Here is an 18812-nt window from a genome sequence, read left to right on the forward strand (position 1 = left end):
CCCATGAAACTATCAAAATTAACATAATGAGTAATAACAACTTAATTTCAATAGTATTCAAACACTCTACTTCTATCATCTGTGTCCTTCTCCCTTTATATTGTTATTGTCACATATTACATATTTATACATTGTGTGGTCATTACAGATTCATAATTATTGTTTTATGCATTTGCCTTTTAAATCACATAGGAAAAAAAAGAGGAGTTATAAACCCAAAGTACAATGATATTAGCTTTTGTACTTATCTATGTATTTACTTTTACTAGTGTTCTTTGTTTCTTCATACAGCTTTGAATTACTGTTGGTTGTTCTTGAATTTCAGCCTGCAGGACTGCCTTTAGGATTTCTTGTAGGGTAAGTGTACTGGTAACAAAACCTCTTAGCTTTTGTGCATCTGGTACTGTCTTAATATCTCCCTCTTTCTTAAAGGATACAGTAATTTTGCCAGATATAAATTTCTTGGTTGACAGGCTTTTGGTTGTTGTTTCCCCAGCACTTTATCATCCTGCTGCCTTCTGGACTCCATGATTTCTGATGAGAAATCAGCTGTTAATCTCATTAAAGATCCTTTGTACATGAAAAGTCATTTTTGTTGTTGTTGTTTTCAAGACTGTCTACATAATTTGACTACAATATGTCTTGGTGTCAATCTCTTTGAGTCCATCTTGCTTGATGTTTGTTGAGCCATTTTGATGTATATGTCCATGTCTTTCATCAAATTTGAGGAGTTTTGAGCCATTACATCTTCAAATATATTTTTCTCCTCTTTTCTCTCCCTCTATTCTCCTTCTGGGACTCCCATGATGCAAATTTTGGTAAGTTTGATGCCATCTCACTGGTTCCTCAGATTTTGTTCATTTTTCTCTTTCTGCTGCTCAGACTGGATAACTTCCATTGTCTCATCTTCAAGTTTTCTGATTATTTCCTCTGCCTTCCTGCCAAAATCTTCCATTGCACCCCTCTAGTGAAATTTTCATTTCAGCTATTGTGCTTTTCTGCTTCAGAATTTCTACTTGGTTCCTTTTTAAAATTTATTTTTCTTTATTGACATTCCCTAATTGTTCATACATTGTTCTGACAATTTACTTCTTTTGTTGATGGTTTTCTTTAGTCACTGAGCATATTTAAGACAGCTGACATCTATCACTAATAAATTTTAATATCTGAACTTCCTCAGGGATAGTGTCAAATTCTTTTTTTCCCTGTGAATAATCCACATTTTCTTATTTTTTAAAATTTATCATTTTCTCTTCTTTTTAAGGCTAATTAAGTGAAGAAGTGAAAGTTTGTTTCTTTTTATGCTTTTCGATTTTATTGTTGTTGCAAACTGGACATTTTCAGTAATGTAAAGTGGTAACTCTGGAAATCAGATTTTCCTCATCCTCAGAAGCTATTTTTTTGCTTGTTGCAAGCTGTATTAATCTGTTTGTATGATGAACTTTCCAAACTATTTTTGCAAAGTCTGTATTCCTTAGGGTGTGGTAACTGAAGTCCCATTGTCCTTTGTCTCTGCAATCAGCCTGTGGTCTGAAAGAGGTTCCTGCATATCCCAAATTTCAGTAGGCTCTCTCTTCCTCAATCACTCCCCCAGTTGCTGTGTCTGATTAGGTCCCAGAGTTCTGGAATAGCTGATTCTTGTCATTTGTCCCCCAGGTTACAGGTTGTTTCAGTAGAGAAATGAAACCCTGGAGGATTCCACTTGGCCATTTTCCATGATGACACATTCCATCAGTCAGTGTTTTTTTTAACAACCTTTGCACTGATGGCTGGATTTTTCTTGGGAACTGTCCCTTAATCAATGGGACCTCTCAGCTTCTCCACTTGCAGAGCTATAGGATGTATCTTCAACTTATCATGGTCTACCTTCAAGTAATATTATGCCACTTCATGAATAGTATAAGAATCTTACAGTTACATACTTCTATTTCTCCCCTCCATTCTTTTATGCTACTATTGTCATATATTTTACTTTAAAATTCCACATATCATCAATATTTTGTTTTAAAAGTCATTTATTAAAAATATAACAATAAGAAAATATATGTATATATTTATTCAAATACTTATAATGTTCATTGCTCCTCATTCCTTTATGTAGATATGTGTTTTCATATGGTAACAGTTTTCTTCTGTCTGAAGGACTTTCATTAACATTTCTTATAGTTCAGGTCTATAGTTCAGGTCTGCGCCTGCCACCGCGCCTGGCTAAACTCTTTCAGCTTTTATATATCTGTAAAGGTTTTTATTTCCCATTTATTTTTATAGATAGTTTTGTTGCTAAAGAATTATAGCTTTATAGCATTTTTTTCTTTTAGTACCTTAAAGATGTGCTCCGTTTTCTTTTTGCTTTCATTATTTGTGATAAGGAATCTACTGGTATTCTTATTTTTATTCATGTGTTTTTTCCTCTGGTTTTTAATAAGATTTTTTTTTGCAGTGGTTTTGGCTGATTACAGGGTATTTTTATCTAGTTTTCTTCATGTTTCTTGTGTTTTGAGTTTGTTAAGCTTATTGAATTTGTATAGTTTTTTTTTTTAAAGTAAAAGTGCTAAAATTCCTAGAAATTATTTTTTCGAATTGTTTTCATATCCTCCCTCTCTCTTCTTTCCTTTTAGGACTCTCATTACTTGTATATTAAAATAATTGAAGTTGTCCCGCATTCTACTAATGCATTTTTTTCATAGTTAGAAACCCTTTCCTTTCCCATGTTTCATTTTGGATATTTTCTATTGGTACATCTTTGTTTACTGATCTTTTCTTCTGTAGCGTCCAAATCTGCTCTTAATCTTTAGCAGTGTATTTTAAATCTCAGATAATGTAATTATGTCTAGAAATTTCATTTGGGTCTCTTTTATATTTTTCATGTCTTTAACTCTTTGAACATCTGGAATATAAATAACTATTTGAATATTTTGGAAATGCGAACATCTATGTCAATTCTGGGTTAGTTTCAGATGGCTAATTTTTTCCTTTTGTCATATTTTCCTGCTTCTTTGCATGCCTGTACATTGGATGTCAAATGTTGTGAATGTTTCTTTTTGCATGCTAGGTGAATTTATATTCCTCTGTATCCTTGGGCTTTGTTTAGAGATAAGATTCAATTATTTGGAAACAATTTTGTCTTTTCAGCTCTTGCTTTTATGATTAGGCAGTCTTAGGGCAACATTTAGTCTACGGTTAATTACTCCTCATAGGTGAGTCAAGACCCAATTCAGTGCCTCACGAATTATGAGGTTTTTCAGTGTGATGAGTGGTAACAGGCACAATTCTCAGTCCTTTGTGAGCACTGGACACTGTCCCTTAGATCATTTTGGATGGCTCTTTCTCCAGTCTCAAGTAGTTTCTTCACATACGTAAACTGCTCAGTACTTTATTGAATACTTAAGAGGAAGTAGCTGCAGATTTGTGGGATTACTTTTCTGTATGGTTCTCCCCTCTGTGATACTCATCTCTTGTAAGCTCTAGCTGCCTCTATTTCCCAAACTTTCAGCTCTGTCTCAACTCAGGAACTTCTTAGGAATTCCTAAATTAGCACTCCCTGAATCACTATCTGGAAACTCTCTGAAGTCTATAAAATGAAGAGATTAAAGGGCTTATATCATTTGCTTCCATCTCTCAGGAATCACTGCCTTTTTTGCCCCCGCCAAGGTCCTGTGTCTTAACAATCATTGTTTTATATATACATGTTTTAGGTTTTTTTAAAAAAAATCTGGTGGGAGGGCGAATCTGGCCTGTTAGTCCATTTTGGAAGCAGAAGTCTTAATTTTTTTTTAAATTCCTACCTTATCAGGGACCCCATTTAGTCTCTGCCTGCTCTAATAGTCAACTCTTTCTTTACCTCCTGATTTTGAAAGTCTAACTTAACTTTAGTTAAAAATAGCATTCACACCAACTACTTATAGGATCCAGAAAAAATAAACAAATGAACTACATTTCTTCATTTTTATTCTGTACATTTCCACACAATTCACAATACAGAAAAAGTGTCCAAAAAGTAACTGTAACTAGTCAATTTCTTTTTCAGAGATTAGTTCAGTCTCCCAAATTAACTCCATTGAAAATCTCTGTAGTGCAACACAGTGATCAAGATACTTTATATAAATAGGAAATGCAAGAAAATTAGGGAAAAATACTTTATGACTTTGTTACAAAAAACTTCATTCTTCCCTTTCCCATCCCACCCCCCCCCCCCCACCCACCCTCCCTCCACTTCGTATTATCTGAATCCTCCTTTACCTGGAAATAAAACTTTAATCTTTCTACTGCCACAGCTGCTACTTGTTTATGGATTCCACCTGCCAGCTGGCAGCTTTGCAAAAGCATGGCTCTGGGATGTGATAGGGCAGAATCAGAAATCATGAAAAAGCCCTTTATAATGTGACTGCAACTCTTCATACAGATGTAGCCTTTGCGAGTGGAATACCCACAGCCAAGGGTACCCTGGATGCCTGGGAACGTTTTCCCACTCAGAAATCAAATTAAATCAAATATATTCATTCTTTTAGAACTGAGATTGTCCTCTATTCCTTAGTTTTTCACAAGAATGGTTTTCCTCAGTTTCAGTCAGTGGTGGTCTGTATAATATTCAGATTCATGGTTGCCCACTTAACTATTGGTAATTTTAAAAAACAGCCAAGCTAACCTTTGCTGAGACTATTTTGGCCCCTGACTTTTCAAAGATGTGTTTTGCAAAATATTCTGTTGTGTTAGAATATTTTGTCTATGAGAGTTCTAAATCTCCTTCCCCAGGATGGCAAGAATCCAAACTTTCCCAACTTATAATCGGTAAGTCAGGGAGAGCATCAAAGTTCTACTTGCATTGGAAATTATGCTTGTATGTAATTAGAGTCTCAATCCAACCAATGATGGGTGGGGAGAGTGGCGAATAAAAATTCTTTGATCTCCAGAAGATCAGGAGATCAGGAGCCATTTGGTTGCATATAGAAGGTACAACAAATATCAAGGCTAGATGGTATCTTAAAAGTGATAAATCTCACCAACACCTATAAATTTGAAATTACCTATAAATTTGAAACAAAAAATAGGGTAAACTGACAGGACTATCCTATCTGTATGTGTGTGTTTTATAAGTGAAGAGTAAAGACAATTTGTAAACATATATCTATCATTTTTAAGAGGAAAATGTATATTTAAACCCAAAATAACAAGGTCACAGTCTCTGAATTTTTAAGTGAATATATTGAGATTTGTGGGAAAAAACCCTAAATATTCCTTATTTTTTTCAAACTTTATCAGGGACCAGAACAAGTTTGTGGACAGGCATAATGTATTATAAGAGGTTGGACAAACTCCTTCCAAAAACCACCTCGTCCTTTGGAAAGCTCCATTAAAAAGTTCTTCTATTAGCTGACCCTACTTCCCCCAAGTTCCACACACAATCTAATTCTTCTATGCTGCATAAACTGAAATTTTCACAACTAATACCCCTTGAAGCCACTTTGAACAAATTTAATCTTTCTGTATGTTTCCTGAGTTTGATTTTCAATATCTGCTAACACTATCAGTTGTTTGAGATTACCATGAGAATTTGTGTTACTACTAGGGTCTTCTTATTGTACTACTTTTGAGAATCTTTTTTCCTTTCCTCACAACTCTGCCCCTCTTTTATGCCCCCAAACCAGAGGCAAGAAGTAGAACAAGAAAGAAGGTGGAGTAGAAGCAGGTCTTTTCTGCAAGACTCTGGATATGGATTCATTTCTTAAAATTACCTCAAGTGACTTCCTCCCTCACCCAGTCAACCTGAAATCTAGGAACTCAAGCTGTATTACAGAATTAAGGGATGATGGGCAATTAAAACTGTAATCCACCTAGACAGAAATATGACAGAAACATTAGTCTACTGATATGGGGTTAAGTCTTGTTTCATGACACAAAGTTATAGAAAGTGCCTCCATGCCTCTGTATTGGCAGAGGATATAGAATTTCCCACCCTCTTCTCCAGTCCTGACTCTACATCCCAAACAACAAATGGGTAGTAAGTAGGGGAAAGAACACTAAATCCTTTGTTTTCACTTTGACTCCTGAATCTGTGACCTTTTTGCTTTAGTAGAAACATATCTTTTTTAGGAGATTTGGGAATTGGCTAACAATTGGCAAAATTGCTAGCCAATTTCCAAATCTCCTAAATTGGCTAACAATTGGCAAAAATGCTAGCCAATTCCCAAATCTCCTAAAAAAGATATGTTTCTACTAAAGCATAGGTGTGTTTGTGTAAGCAAGGCAACTTTTTAGGGTCATGAAATCCCCGCTGCTAAGTGATTTGGGATATATTTGCAATGATGGAAGCTTTTTTAAAAAATGCCTTCATTGCTATCTAGTTGGCAGGAACCTGGGGGAAAAAAATAGGCTCAAATTGAGTTCTGTTCCAGTCTAAAATTATAGACATTTAAACCAAGAAAATCTCACAGAGTTTTTCTAGTCCAAGATCTCTCACAATTAAAGATATGCCTTTGATCTCTGAGTTAGTTGTTCAATCTTCACTTAACTACTAGAAGAAACAGTGATAACAACTTCACTGTTTTTCAGAAAGCCCAAACTGTTTTTCTGGATGCAATGTTTAGGAAAAATAAATCCTTATAAGTAATAAAGCTAACTCCTTTTCATGTGTTACTGCTCTTTTCTTTCCTTATTTTATTCTACAAATCATCTTCCCTGCAGAATTTGAAACTAACAGTCCTACTTAACCTAACTCCTCTACATATTCTTATTCCTAATCCAATTTTGTCTTCTTTCCAGATCAAACATCCTCCTTCTACATATTCACCAATCTGCCCATAAATGTCCCTTGTAAAGTATGAGATTCTGAACTGAAGGACATTTCAAGCCTGTTTGTTTTTCTCTACTTCAAATATGCCGGAATTTCCCATAGGTGTATTAAACCTCTATGTATATGACTATGTATTATCATAACACTTAGCTTGCATACCCACCCATAAACTTAGAGCAATAGAGTCTTGGATGTCAGGGCCATTTTTAACATTTTTTGTTGCAGCATTCAGAAATTATATCATCCTAATAGTGACTTCAAAGGAAGAAAAATAGGACTAACATTTTTTAAATGCTGAGAATCACAAATAAGTTAAAGAAGCCATTAACGCTCACTGTTAATTTCTTCTCTTGAAATCCACCCTGGTATGCAAACATTAGACTTTTCTTTGCTTGAACTATGTACAAGCTGACAAGCCTCTCTCCGACAGCAAAAACTCTGACTTTTTGATTTCACATTCTCCCTTATTTCTAACTCATTCTTTCCGTGGAAACTTAGGTAAACATTTTTTTTTCATGGAGGCAACTTCTATATTATGGAAATCTGAACAATTGATATAAAACATCCTTGAAGGCAATGATGGAAAATGACTTACTTAGAAAACATGTTAATATGTAATTTCTAAAGACCCAGTTCTGGCTGCAGCACTATCATTTGCTATATGAATCTGCACAGGCTGAATTCACTGCTCTGAGATTCAGTGCATTCATCTAAAATGTATTATATGCATTATTCACCTCGTTGGGGTTGTTTTGAACCCCAACTGAAGCTCAAACATGTCAATACATCATAACGCTAAAGCACTTTTTAATTCTTGAAACTGTTCTTAACAAACAGTATAGATTTGAGTTGTTTATACTGTCATAGAGTGAAAACTATATGTGTGTTTCACTAAAGGTCTGAGGGAAAAGATAATTTCAGTATTTCCCACTATCAAAGCCTCCCATTTCAGAAGGCATTTGGCTCAAAATATTGAAATTTCAAAAGTTGGGTGAAAACTTGGATCACTATTTTCTTATTTCCATGGGTAGGACCTCCCTTGTGGTTGCCACGCTGGTGGCAGAAGCCAAAGAGTTTTCCATGATTGCCTTTCATGTACATTTACTTGGCTCCCAAATACCTTACAGGCAGAATTTTCTTCTGTGGTTATACTAGATTACACTTAACTCTTAGAATATCAAACCACAGCACTTTTTTATATTGGATGGACAGTAAGACAGATTTCTAATAGAATTTTACTTGACAATGACTAAGAATACTGATCAAAATTTATAAGCTTCCAGAAGTATTTTTAATTAAATTACACCTTTTAGTATGTTTTCTTTTGACTAGCTCTTAAATTCATGCTTAGTTTAAAATTTTTTAAATGATAACTAACGGCCATTCCCCTAGATATTTTTAAAATTCTCAGTTATAAAGCAAAGTTTAACAAATCAAAAATCAAGATTTTCATGAGTTTTTAAAATAAAATCCTGCCATTCAACAAAGCCATTAAAAAATATCTTTTGAAAAATCACAGCATCTAATTTTAGCCCCCTCAAATCACATATTCCTAATCACAACACCCCTCAGAGTGGTCAGGTATCCTCTGTTTAAATGCTAACAGAGGCTGAAAGTTTATAACTGTGATATCCACTCCACTATTACATATTATTTGTACTTCATCTTCTTTATATTTAGTCAAAACCCACTGAAAACTCTGCTTATTTTTCCTAGTTCTATCCTGAGAGCTAGAATAAATCAGTCTTAGCTTTCATTTTAATAGTGTTTCTAAGTCTTGTTTTAAAATCTTAGTTTCAGATACATTTTTAGAAATCTACTATGACTCCAGTAAAATGGAAATGCAAAATATTATTCTCTTCCTACTTATGTTTTCATTGAACCAAAACATTGCTGGCTAATGAGTGGCTGGTACAATAAAGCCTTGGTTGAATTTCCAGCCCATGCTGGACACCCTGGGGTTCTCCTGCACTGCACTTATCACATTGGAATTTGTCTTTTCTTCTAGATGCCAGCTTCATGAAATCAAGAGTTTTGTCTATTACATTCATTGTTATATCCTTAGTATGATGCCTGCCTCAGAGTGACAAATATTTTTCAAATAATGATTAAATACATGCACTTATGATTGATTCATGGACATATGATTACATGCATAACTGAATACATATGTAAATAGACTCTGGAGTCTATGCATTATGAAGATACCATTCAATTTTCACGTTTCTATTTTAAAATCCATGCTACAAGAGCCTAAGAATTATTTTTCTGCTTTCTTTCTGGGACCTGGTCAGTAAATCTCAGTGTCCTGGGAGAGGAGGTTGTCCAAGGGCATGACTCTTTTCTTGGTTCTTATTTTCAGGTTTCTCATTAAGCTGTGAGGAGACAGTGTAAAACCAAAGATGGCCCTCAGCAGTGTAAAATCTATAACCTAGTCCTCCAGGTGCCGTCAAAGAGGCATGTGGCTTACATTGTTGAATGAGGAAGCAGCAGCCGTGATTGTGTACCCTCATGGGACTAAGACAGATATTTGCTAAACCTGATAGATTTTCAGAATCATGCTTGCCATAATTCTATAAGATGATCAAGGTCAGTGGACATCCATGTGTCCTTTGAGTAAAAGGTATACTTGTCCCAGAGGGTAATTTCATTTTGATGTATTTTGAGCATAATATCTGGGGAAGATTTTTGCAACTGCGTGACAAAATTATTGACAGTAGTAGGCAGAAAGTTCAGGGACAGGACTGCCGCTATGGCCCAAAACTTAGAGAGACAAGAGATAATGGATGACTGGGGACACAGAAAAGGGTAGGGTCCAAGTCGATCTGACAGACCTGGCAGAGAAGGACCTGTAGGACTTCTAATCAGCTGAGTATGAGATTCAGAGTGAAAGGAGTTGAGAGATTCAAAGGTGGTTCAATTAAGATGCAGGCAGAAGCCATTTTATATTAAATAAGTGTTAAAGATTAATCAGAAAGCTAATTTATTAGATGTTTTTCTACTTCTTTTCCTAAAATGAATATAATTCATTTAAATAGAACAATTAGTAGTTTTATTTGATGGTTATGATGAGCCATTTTAACAAAGTCCCATTTTTAAATAGCATAATTGAATAAAATATGCTGTTCTCAGTGATTTCATTAGCTACTCCTTCTGGAAGGAAGACAAGCTGCTCAGACCCCCATACTACACTGAAGTTACACCTTCCCGGAAGTAGCCTGCCCTAATTAAATATCACTAGGCAACCTACTGAGTGTTAGTGTTACAAACAGCCTTGTAAAGTGGTGTAAGCATCACAGAGGAAAGAACTCTCCTTTACTTGAAATACAAACATAGCATAGATAAGTCTTGGGGCTATGGTAGGTTTCATGCTTCATGGAAGGCAACATAAACAATTACAGGAACTCTTGGTCATGAATTTTATGACACAGGTAATAGAAAATGCTAAGTGCAATTGTAGTAATGCCATAACAGATCTAAGCCTAGCAATGGTGGAAACAAAAAAATAAATGGAACTTCTCTGTTTAACCTGTCTTTGCCTACTGGTGTTCACTAGACATATACAAATGATCAGCATGCTTTTAAAATGTTTGCTCTTTTCTAAACCTATGCAATATACATGAATATAGTATACATACTTGCATGTGTATATAAATAAATGTCTATATATGTGTGTAAATGTATATGCGTATATACATACATACTTGTGCATGAACGGATGGGGTATTTCTGACATCACATACAAGCAACAGTGTTCATCAGTGTTAACCGTATTTATTTTTGGGAAGTGGGACACAACACCAGAACAAAGGGATGCCTTGACTGTGGATGTGATACTCATCTGTGGTATTAAAACATTTTATAAAAAGCATGTGCCATTTTTATAATTTAAAAAAACCCCTAAATATTATTAATAAAATTGACATGTAATAAAATAAAGATGCTGTGTCATTTTTTAAAGCCATGAATATTATAAGGGGTCTAGTAAATAAATAAATTTCAGAAATTCGTTAGGCAAAGGGACTCTCACTAGGTCCAGATGAAAATGAAGTGATGTTGAGTAGCTCCCAGCACAGGCAGATCTGCCAAAGCAGCCATTCTGAAAGGATAAGGAGCAACAGGTATGTACGGCTCTCCATCAGTCATTACTAATTTCCATCACTGTGCATTTGCCAGCTAAATTATGTTTCAAAACTTGCACTGGTTTTTGGTTATCACATCTACAGAGGAAACATAAGCTCTGAAAGCAAAATTCCTAGTCATGGTATTTATTCCATTCTTGGCTTACTAATCTTCTCTCTTATTCTTTATGAAGTCCTTGAATACGATAAAGCACAGTTTAACTGTGTTCTATTTTGTTAAATGCACAATATTAAAATATAAGCTTGCAAAAATGACTACCTTTCAGGTTACAGAATGTTGTCTTTTAATAACTCTTCATTTTCCATTCCTCTATCAACCACATCTAAAAATGGAATCTCAAAGCAGTCAGTGCCATGACACAAAGAAACAAACACAGAGGAGTCAGCCAAGCTAGCTGCCTCTTCAGTGCTGTCTCAGTAGGCTTTGTAGAAATGATATTTCTATAGGTACATATTTTTATGTCTGTTAAAGTTACATGGCACTTCAGACCAGGACTAGATCACTTGCTTTCCTGATGTCCTAATAGTAGGGATACAATATACTTAAGCTGAGATGGAAACTCCTAGACCATAAGGCCTTAGCTCTTTCCAAAGCCCAGGACCAATTTTTAAAACATGCTACAGGAGGTGGTTTAATGTTGAAGCCATTAAACATGTGGTTATTCTGCTCACTTTATTTTGGAAATCCCAAGTCCTAGTGGTACTTGCTTTTTTCAAAGCGATATATCAAATATTGGTCTCCATGAATAACACAGGACTCTAATGCCTTTTTTTTTTTTGGTTTGAAAAAATTTCCAAATGCATCAGGAATCTTACAGTACCAACTCATCATTTTTCATAACACAGATTTATGTCTTCAATTGGAGCTATTTAGAAATTGGCCCATAGCCACCTGTACCCTAAATTTTCTCTGGGCTACTTGGAAGTATTTAGAGAAATGTGAGATGGTAGTTGATGAAAACAGAGTTCTTCATCCCAACAGTAACAGCTAGATAACTGACTGCTTGGCCAAACATTTGACTCAATCCAGGGAATGGAAGATGCCATTCAAAGCCAGATTCCAGTTTGTGTTAAGGATTATATTTCTGTCATCACATTTCCTTGACAGTCCCGCCAACTAAAAATCCCCCAGCAAAAGCCCAGTGATTAAATTCTCCTGGAGCATATTTTTCCAGCTTCTGGAAACAATCTGCTGCAGTGTCTCCTGTAATATCCAAAGGATAGTTCCATTTCTGAGGCTGATATATGGAAGTAGATTACTCACAACCCAATCCATCCTCCCACCAACAATTTGATTTTGAAATGACTATGGAAAGACTGTGGTAATAAAATCCCCATCCACTGAAAGGCTGTTCCTGTTTAATATAGCACGTCATAGCCGCACTTTCAAAATGATGATATGTTACCGAAATGTGACTCAGATAAGCAAAATGTCACCATTAGACTTTTAAATTAAATGTAGAGACACTATCATTCATGGTCATATGTAGAAACATTAGGGAAGCACTATGCTATGTCCAAGGACAAAATGAAAATAAGCTCAGGAGACGTCAGATTTCGCCAAAAGTAAAATCCTTGGACACCTACTTTTATTTTTGACTTACCCCCAAGTCAAGTAGATATTTGGACAGAAAGACAGACATTTTCTTCTGATATTTTAGGGATCACAGAGTCCCTAAGAGAGGTACCTGTAAGTACCATTCGATCCGTGGCAGGTTTAGATGTTACAATTCTAACTATCTGACAGACATTTCTGGCTAGATTCCAATGGTGGTTTGCACTAAGGACTTTCTGAAAAGGGAAAAATAAAGTAGATAAAATAATATATTAGACTACCCCATACATAGAAAATGGGGTTATTAAGTACGACCTTTGGACCTGACAAATAATAGTTGAAGCATCCTTCTGAATGATCCAGGCATCCCATAAATCTGGCAGTGGAACTCATACAACAAGCCTTTGTTCTTGGGTCAAGGATTACTTGGAGTAATGAAAACCAAAAACCTAAAAGAAAGACCTAAAATGGGGCTCCTCTCACCACTGTATCCAACAGTCTATAGTTATTAGCCTCTGTGCAACATTCCAATGACTGTTTCCTATTTCAGTGACATATGTTGACATATGTTGCTACTTTTGCTTTTGCTGTTTTTTTTTTCCAAGTCAATTAGGGTGCTTTCTATTATCATTCAACAAAGTTTAGAAGTAAACATTGTTAGAGTGCTCCATTTCCTGTAACCACAGTTCCCACACAGGATTATTTGCTCTGCAATTTAAACAGCACTTAAAATTGAGTGGTTCTGCAAACTAGCTGTGGGCCTCTGTTTAATCCTTTGCTCATCTTCTATTGCAGCAAAAGGCAAAGATGGCTACACATAGGCAGTACGGAGCTGTACAGACAGCCCAAGCTGAACCAGTCCTGCATGGCTATTGGCTACAGCCCAGCAGCCTGGGCTGACCCCTGGGTTACCTCTCTGAGGTACCTCCAAGCACAGACATCTCCCATGCCACCTCACCATTCCTCAGAGATATAGCACACAAGTTGACATTATCCATGTGGCACTTCCCAGCTCCTATATAATGAAACGGAGGGTTGGCGGGTGAGGGGGACATGCAGAGAGAGTCACTAAATAGTCTTGATATATTTAGTCTTAGAAATGGAAGTGGTTTTACAGTTATATTTCTGCAGGACATTCAGAAGGTTTTAGAAGGCCTTCAGACAATCTTGTGGTCTTCCAAGACTGAATGTAAAGAGAAGAGATAATATTTTTCTTTAAGTTGATGGGTAGTTACAGTAGAATTGTATGGTACAGGGAAAAAAACCAATGCATAGGGGGAGGATGGAGCAGTGCCATTTATACGAACATCCTTTGAATCTTTAAAATAAATTATACAGGTGAACACAGAAGTTCATGCTACTTGCTGGAAGCAATAAGGATCAAATTTTGTGGAACTCGTACTGTATTCCACAAATCTCCAGGTATCCTGCCTCCTTCTCAATGGGCTATCATGTTCTGTTGTACATCTTGGTAGCCCTTAAAAGCTAGTGGCATGGTCTCAGGTAGATTCTTGCAGGAGAGAGACAGATATATGAATTCCATCAGCTTCTTCCAGGGGAGCTGCCCAATTGCAGGGAGGGCAGATGTGATACGCTTGCTCATGTCCTCTTTGCCCGAATACCAGGGTCAAACAGCAGTTTCCAGGTCCTCATGGCCAATGACCTTATAGTTCTGACGGCTTTCTAGGTAAGCAGCCAAGTCTGGGTCCCCAGCCTGCTGTGCTCTTTCTTGAGGTGTCTTACCCTATACGAAAATAGTGAGAAAAAAAAAAAGAGAGAGAGAGATAGACACAAGCGCTAGTCGTGAAATACAAAAACAAAAAACAAAACAAAACAAAAATCACAGAAACAGAACTACGCAAGGATACCTGCTAGTAAGGATCCTTTCACATTTGGTGTTTTAGAGTTTACAAGACACTTTCAAATCTATTGTCTTATATGAGCATTAAATTGAACATGTGCGATTGGTAAATGAAAGGGAAAGAGTTTATCACTTTTGACGGGTGGGGTTTATACTAGGGAAACAGAAGTTCACAGAGGTTAACAGTATACAGAAGGAAACAGTGGGGTAAAGCGAGTTTTGAAACCCAGAGCCTTTCTGGAAGATGGGGAGGTAGAAATTACTGAATTTAAAAAATAGGGAGGCAGGCATTTAGATTTCTAGTTTAGGACTCTTTCTATTATTCTAAACTTGGGAAATCAACATACAGAAACTAAAAGGAAGGGATAGTCATAAAAAAATTGAAAGGTTTTCTTTATTGGTTTCAGACTTGGGCTATTTCATCTCTCTAAAAACTAAGCTAGTTTCTCAATACAAAAGTGGTAGATATTGATTAAAGAAATCTTGGAAAGCTTGAAAAGCACAAAGAAGAAAAGGAATATCCCTAATCATTCCACCAAACTAAGATAACCACTACTAACCTTCCATTGATAACTAGATTTTGTCTTTTATATGCCTCTATACGTATTTTTATAAAAACAAAACCACAATTCATTTACATACTGTTTTACAACCTTTCTTAGTAATATATCATAAATTTGTCATTAATTTTTTACATCAACATGTTAAATGATCATATAATTTCTTACAGACTACTATAATGCCTTTTGTACACTTATATACACACATATACACATATATTTGTATATATATATTGCTATTTTTTAAATGAGGCCACTGAATAAGAAGTCAGCAGTAAAGGGAGAAAGAGTGTCCATTCTTTTGAATGCCTGTATATATTACTTGGCATCGCTCAAAATTTCTAATTTTTGTTGAATGATAAAGTTTTAACTATTTAAAAAGTTATGTTAAGTTCCAAAGGAAGGGTAGAGGCATGATCATTGTACCAAATAAATAGCTCCATGTACAAATGCACACAAGTGTTATAAATATTATCAGAGACTTCTCAGCTTTCATCTCGGCTATCCCAACAGATACTGGCGACCTCAATCCAACCTGCTCTACATAGCCTACTGGGGAGAGGACAAAAGGGAAGTAACAATGGCTCTAGAATCTTTCTAAAATGTTACTTATTCACTTGGGATTTAGCCGTTAACCACTAGTTTGAAGTTCCTTGAATAATTTTTATTCAACTTGTTTGCAGCCTTAGTAGATAATTGTGTCTTTACTTCCATAATAATGAGGTTGGAATTTCCAGGTTCCAAATATTCAGAGAGGTTGCTGAGGTGGGCCTTTGAGGTGATTTCTGAGGAACTGAACTCTAATAGGAGAAATTCTCAGGATGCTGCTTCTCTCCAAAAAATTCCAGGAGAAGATTCAGTTGTAATGATCACATTCAACTTTAAACTAGCATCAAGTTACAGAATGGCAAAATTTAAAAATCCTTAAAAAGTAATGAAGTATAGCTATATTATTTCATGTGGTAAGACCTCTAGAATATAACGTTGAGTGAAAAGTTATACGATATCATGTATGTATGACTTCATCTAGTTAAAAACAACAAGAGAGAAAAACAGGCATATCTACATGTGAAGGGGGATCATTACAAGTTTAATGATATCTAGGTCTAGGTTGTGAGGTTTCCAGCAATTTTTTGCTTTTTGGAGCATATCTTCCTACATTACTAGTTTTCTATGTGAGGGGTTTATAATTATAAAAACAAGCTATTTCCATTTTTTTTTAAAAAAAGCAGACACATACACAACACAAAACAGAAAGAAGTTTCCATGAACATTGAGTCTTTTATCTGATTCAGAAACTTAGAAAGATAAAAAAGCAGACCTGCTCAAGAGCCAGGTCTCCTGATTCCTGTTTGGTTTGTCCCTCTTTTTCATGGCTTCTCTCTGTTTTTAAAATGATCTGAGTTGAGTGTAGGACCAGCCTTTGTGTGGTAAAGAGGCAGTTGTGCTGCTGTGGTCTGAGTGGCCCTGGCAAGACCAACCCTACCCCATAACCTGGCTCCATTAATCCTGAATATAAGTTGTGTGTTTCTCAATCAGGCTAAACATCAAAACATCTGAGTGCAAATAACATCTGGGAAGAACATCACATTGAGAAATTATTACTTTTAATGGCAAAAACCACAATTACTTTTACACCAACCTAATTATCTGCCATTTGAAATAGTGTACCCAATTAGCTAGCCAGACAGGTAACAGACCACTAGAAACCAGGACACAGCTCAAGTGTGTTTGATATACCTAGGCAGCCAGGGACTTCAGAGAGCAAGGGTGCTCATGGGTTGCCAGGAAAGTGGAGAGTTCTATGTAATACAACTGGCTCAGAAAGGAAAGAAAGTCCACTAGGAAGGCAAAGTTATTTCATAAAGTGGACTGCAGTTTGAGGAGGCCCCAGGGAAAAAAATTGCACATAGGCAGATTCTTATCACTTAAATAAATCTAATGGAGCTTAAGCCATTAATTAGGCTTCTAAGTAATCTATGTATGTGTCATGGTTACAACCATTGGCCCCAAACCTGAGCTACTCGGTACCTGCTTAATGAAGGCCTCAACTATATATCAAGATTCTTCTCTGTAAGTGTCTATAGGTAAGTGGTTCATTCTTTCCTGGAGTCTACCGAGAGTGTTCTAAAACTCTCAGAGCTTATCAGAATCCTCTATGGCAAGCTTGTCCAACCCACAGCCCGCAAGCCATATGCGACCCAGGATGGATGCGAATGAGGCTCAATGGAAATTCGTAAACTTTCTTAAAACATCGTAAGATTTGTGTGTGTGTGTGATTTTTATTTTTTCAGTTCATCAGCTATTGTTAGTGTTAGTGTATTTCATGTGTGGCCCAAGACAATTCTTCTTTGTCCAATGTGGCCCAGGGAAGCCAAAAGATTGGACACCCCTGCTCTATGGTGTTGATCTTCTATGTAAACTAACTCCTCTTTCTCTCTCTTCTTTCTTATAGGCTGAGCCCTGGTTCAACTCTACTAAGCTACAACTCCTCCTTCCCTCTATCTTTCAACCCTTTCTCTTGGGTGCTCTCTATAAACTTAAACAACTCGTGGTGCAGCTTGTTCTCAGTTCTCCTAAACAGAGTTTCCCCTAAGGCCTCACCTCCGCCAGCTGATGCTATCAAGGTTGGCATACATGTCACAGTACAATATCTGGCCTCACTGCCCTCTTATTAAGATAGTCCTAAGAAAGTGGACACTTTAAGTTCAGATTTACATAACTTTTGCTGTGGAGAAACCAACCACATTTCAAGCCAAGTGCCACAGGTATCACTGTACCTCAACAAAACAGACTCCATAAACAAACCGATTTTGTTATGTGGCTGGGGTGTTCTGGCACCAAATGAGAACCACCAACCTGCTGATACAACACTGGGCTGGACGTCAAAAGAGCTCAATTTAATTTAAGCCTCAGCTACTGGTCCAAGGGTATGTGTAACTTTCTCTAGGCTTTTAGCTCCTATACCTATAAATGACAGTAATTCCCATGCTATCTAGTACCTGAGGTTAACTTTTAGAGAATAATATTAGAAAACAAATGGAAAGAATTTTTTAAAAATGAAGAACTACATAAACACACCAGATTTAAGACTATGACCATCTCAAAGCCAGATCCTACCATCCTGGGAGCTGGGAAAGAATCCCTTTGGCACCCATATAAGGGGCCATATAAATCATAGAATTTAAAACACGTTGGAGTAAGTACTGAAGGAAAACCCCAAAGGGGCTTCTCAGTAGTCAGGCCAAAGTCTTTGAAAATGGTCCTGACCCCTCTCCTTGGGCTTCGGACCTCAACTCCCATGACTTGGCTGCTAGCGCTCAGCAGGACAACCCCAAAGTCCCAAGGTCAACGTGTTCAGAGGTTTATAAAGCCCCATAGGCAAGCACACGCCCTCCCTTTGTGCTTATACATTTAAATCACAGTTTCTCTAAATGAAGCACTCTATTTTTTCCTCCTTTTTCCAAAGCCCCAGGCACTTCCATAAGCACAGAAAGGATGTCCGTGCTATGGTCACAAGCAAAGGCAACAGCGCCTGCGATCTCGCCCAGCGGGAGGATGTTTGCACTCACTCATCGAGTTACCTTGGAGTCCGTCTTTCTCAGAGATGCTCCTGCATCCACCAGAAGCTGGCACACAGCCCGGTTCCGCTGGCAGGCAGCCTTGTGCAGTGCAGTCTCACCCCTAAATCAAAGATGAAATGGGAAACCACCCATAAAGGGGTTGGAGGCAGCAGGGAATGGGTGAGGGGAGCTGATGTAGGGTGCTCCTCAGCCTCCTTCCCTGTAGGCTGCTGAGACTTTGGCTGTAGGGTACATTCTGGGGAGGTAGGGAAGGGGATTTCTAAAAATTCCTTGAGCTAGCCATCAACTGATCATAATATCTGACTCTAGCCCCCTTTCCA

At 36.9% G+C, this 18812-nt stretch overlaps 1 protein-coding gene across 8 annotated transcripts in view; it reads right to left on the reverse strand.

Moving 5' to 3' along the window:
• Positions 1-3931: 3931 nt before the first annotated feature.
• The window catches only part of DGKI (diacylglycerol kinase iota), a 465938-nt gene continuing 451057 nt past the window's right edge, over positions 3932-18812 (reverse strand). For 7 of the 8 annotated variants that reach the window (XM_047421022.1, NM_001321708.2, XM_047421021.1 and 4 more), the window contains 2 exons: positions 18493-18592; positions 3932-14231 (listed from right to left, as the gene is read on the reverse strand). In XM_047421022.1, coding sequence (XP_047276978.1) covers positions 14115-14231; positions 18493-18592 — 217 coding nt within the window. In that variant the 3' untranslated portion in view covers positions 3932-14114. The remainder of the gene's footprint in view (positions 14232-18492; positions 18593-18812) is intronic. The other variant, NM_004717.3, reaches the window with a different exon arrangement.

The sequence above is a fragment of the Homo sapiens genome, chromosome 7 (assembly GCF_000001405.40).
Source record: "Homo sapiens chromosome 7, GRCh38.p14 Primary Assembly".
Taxonomy (NCBI): domain Eukaryota; kingdom Metazoa; phylum Chordata; class Mammalia; order Primates; family Hominidae; genus Homo; species Homo sapiens.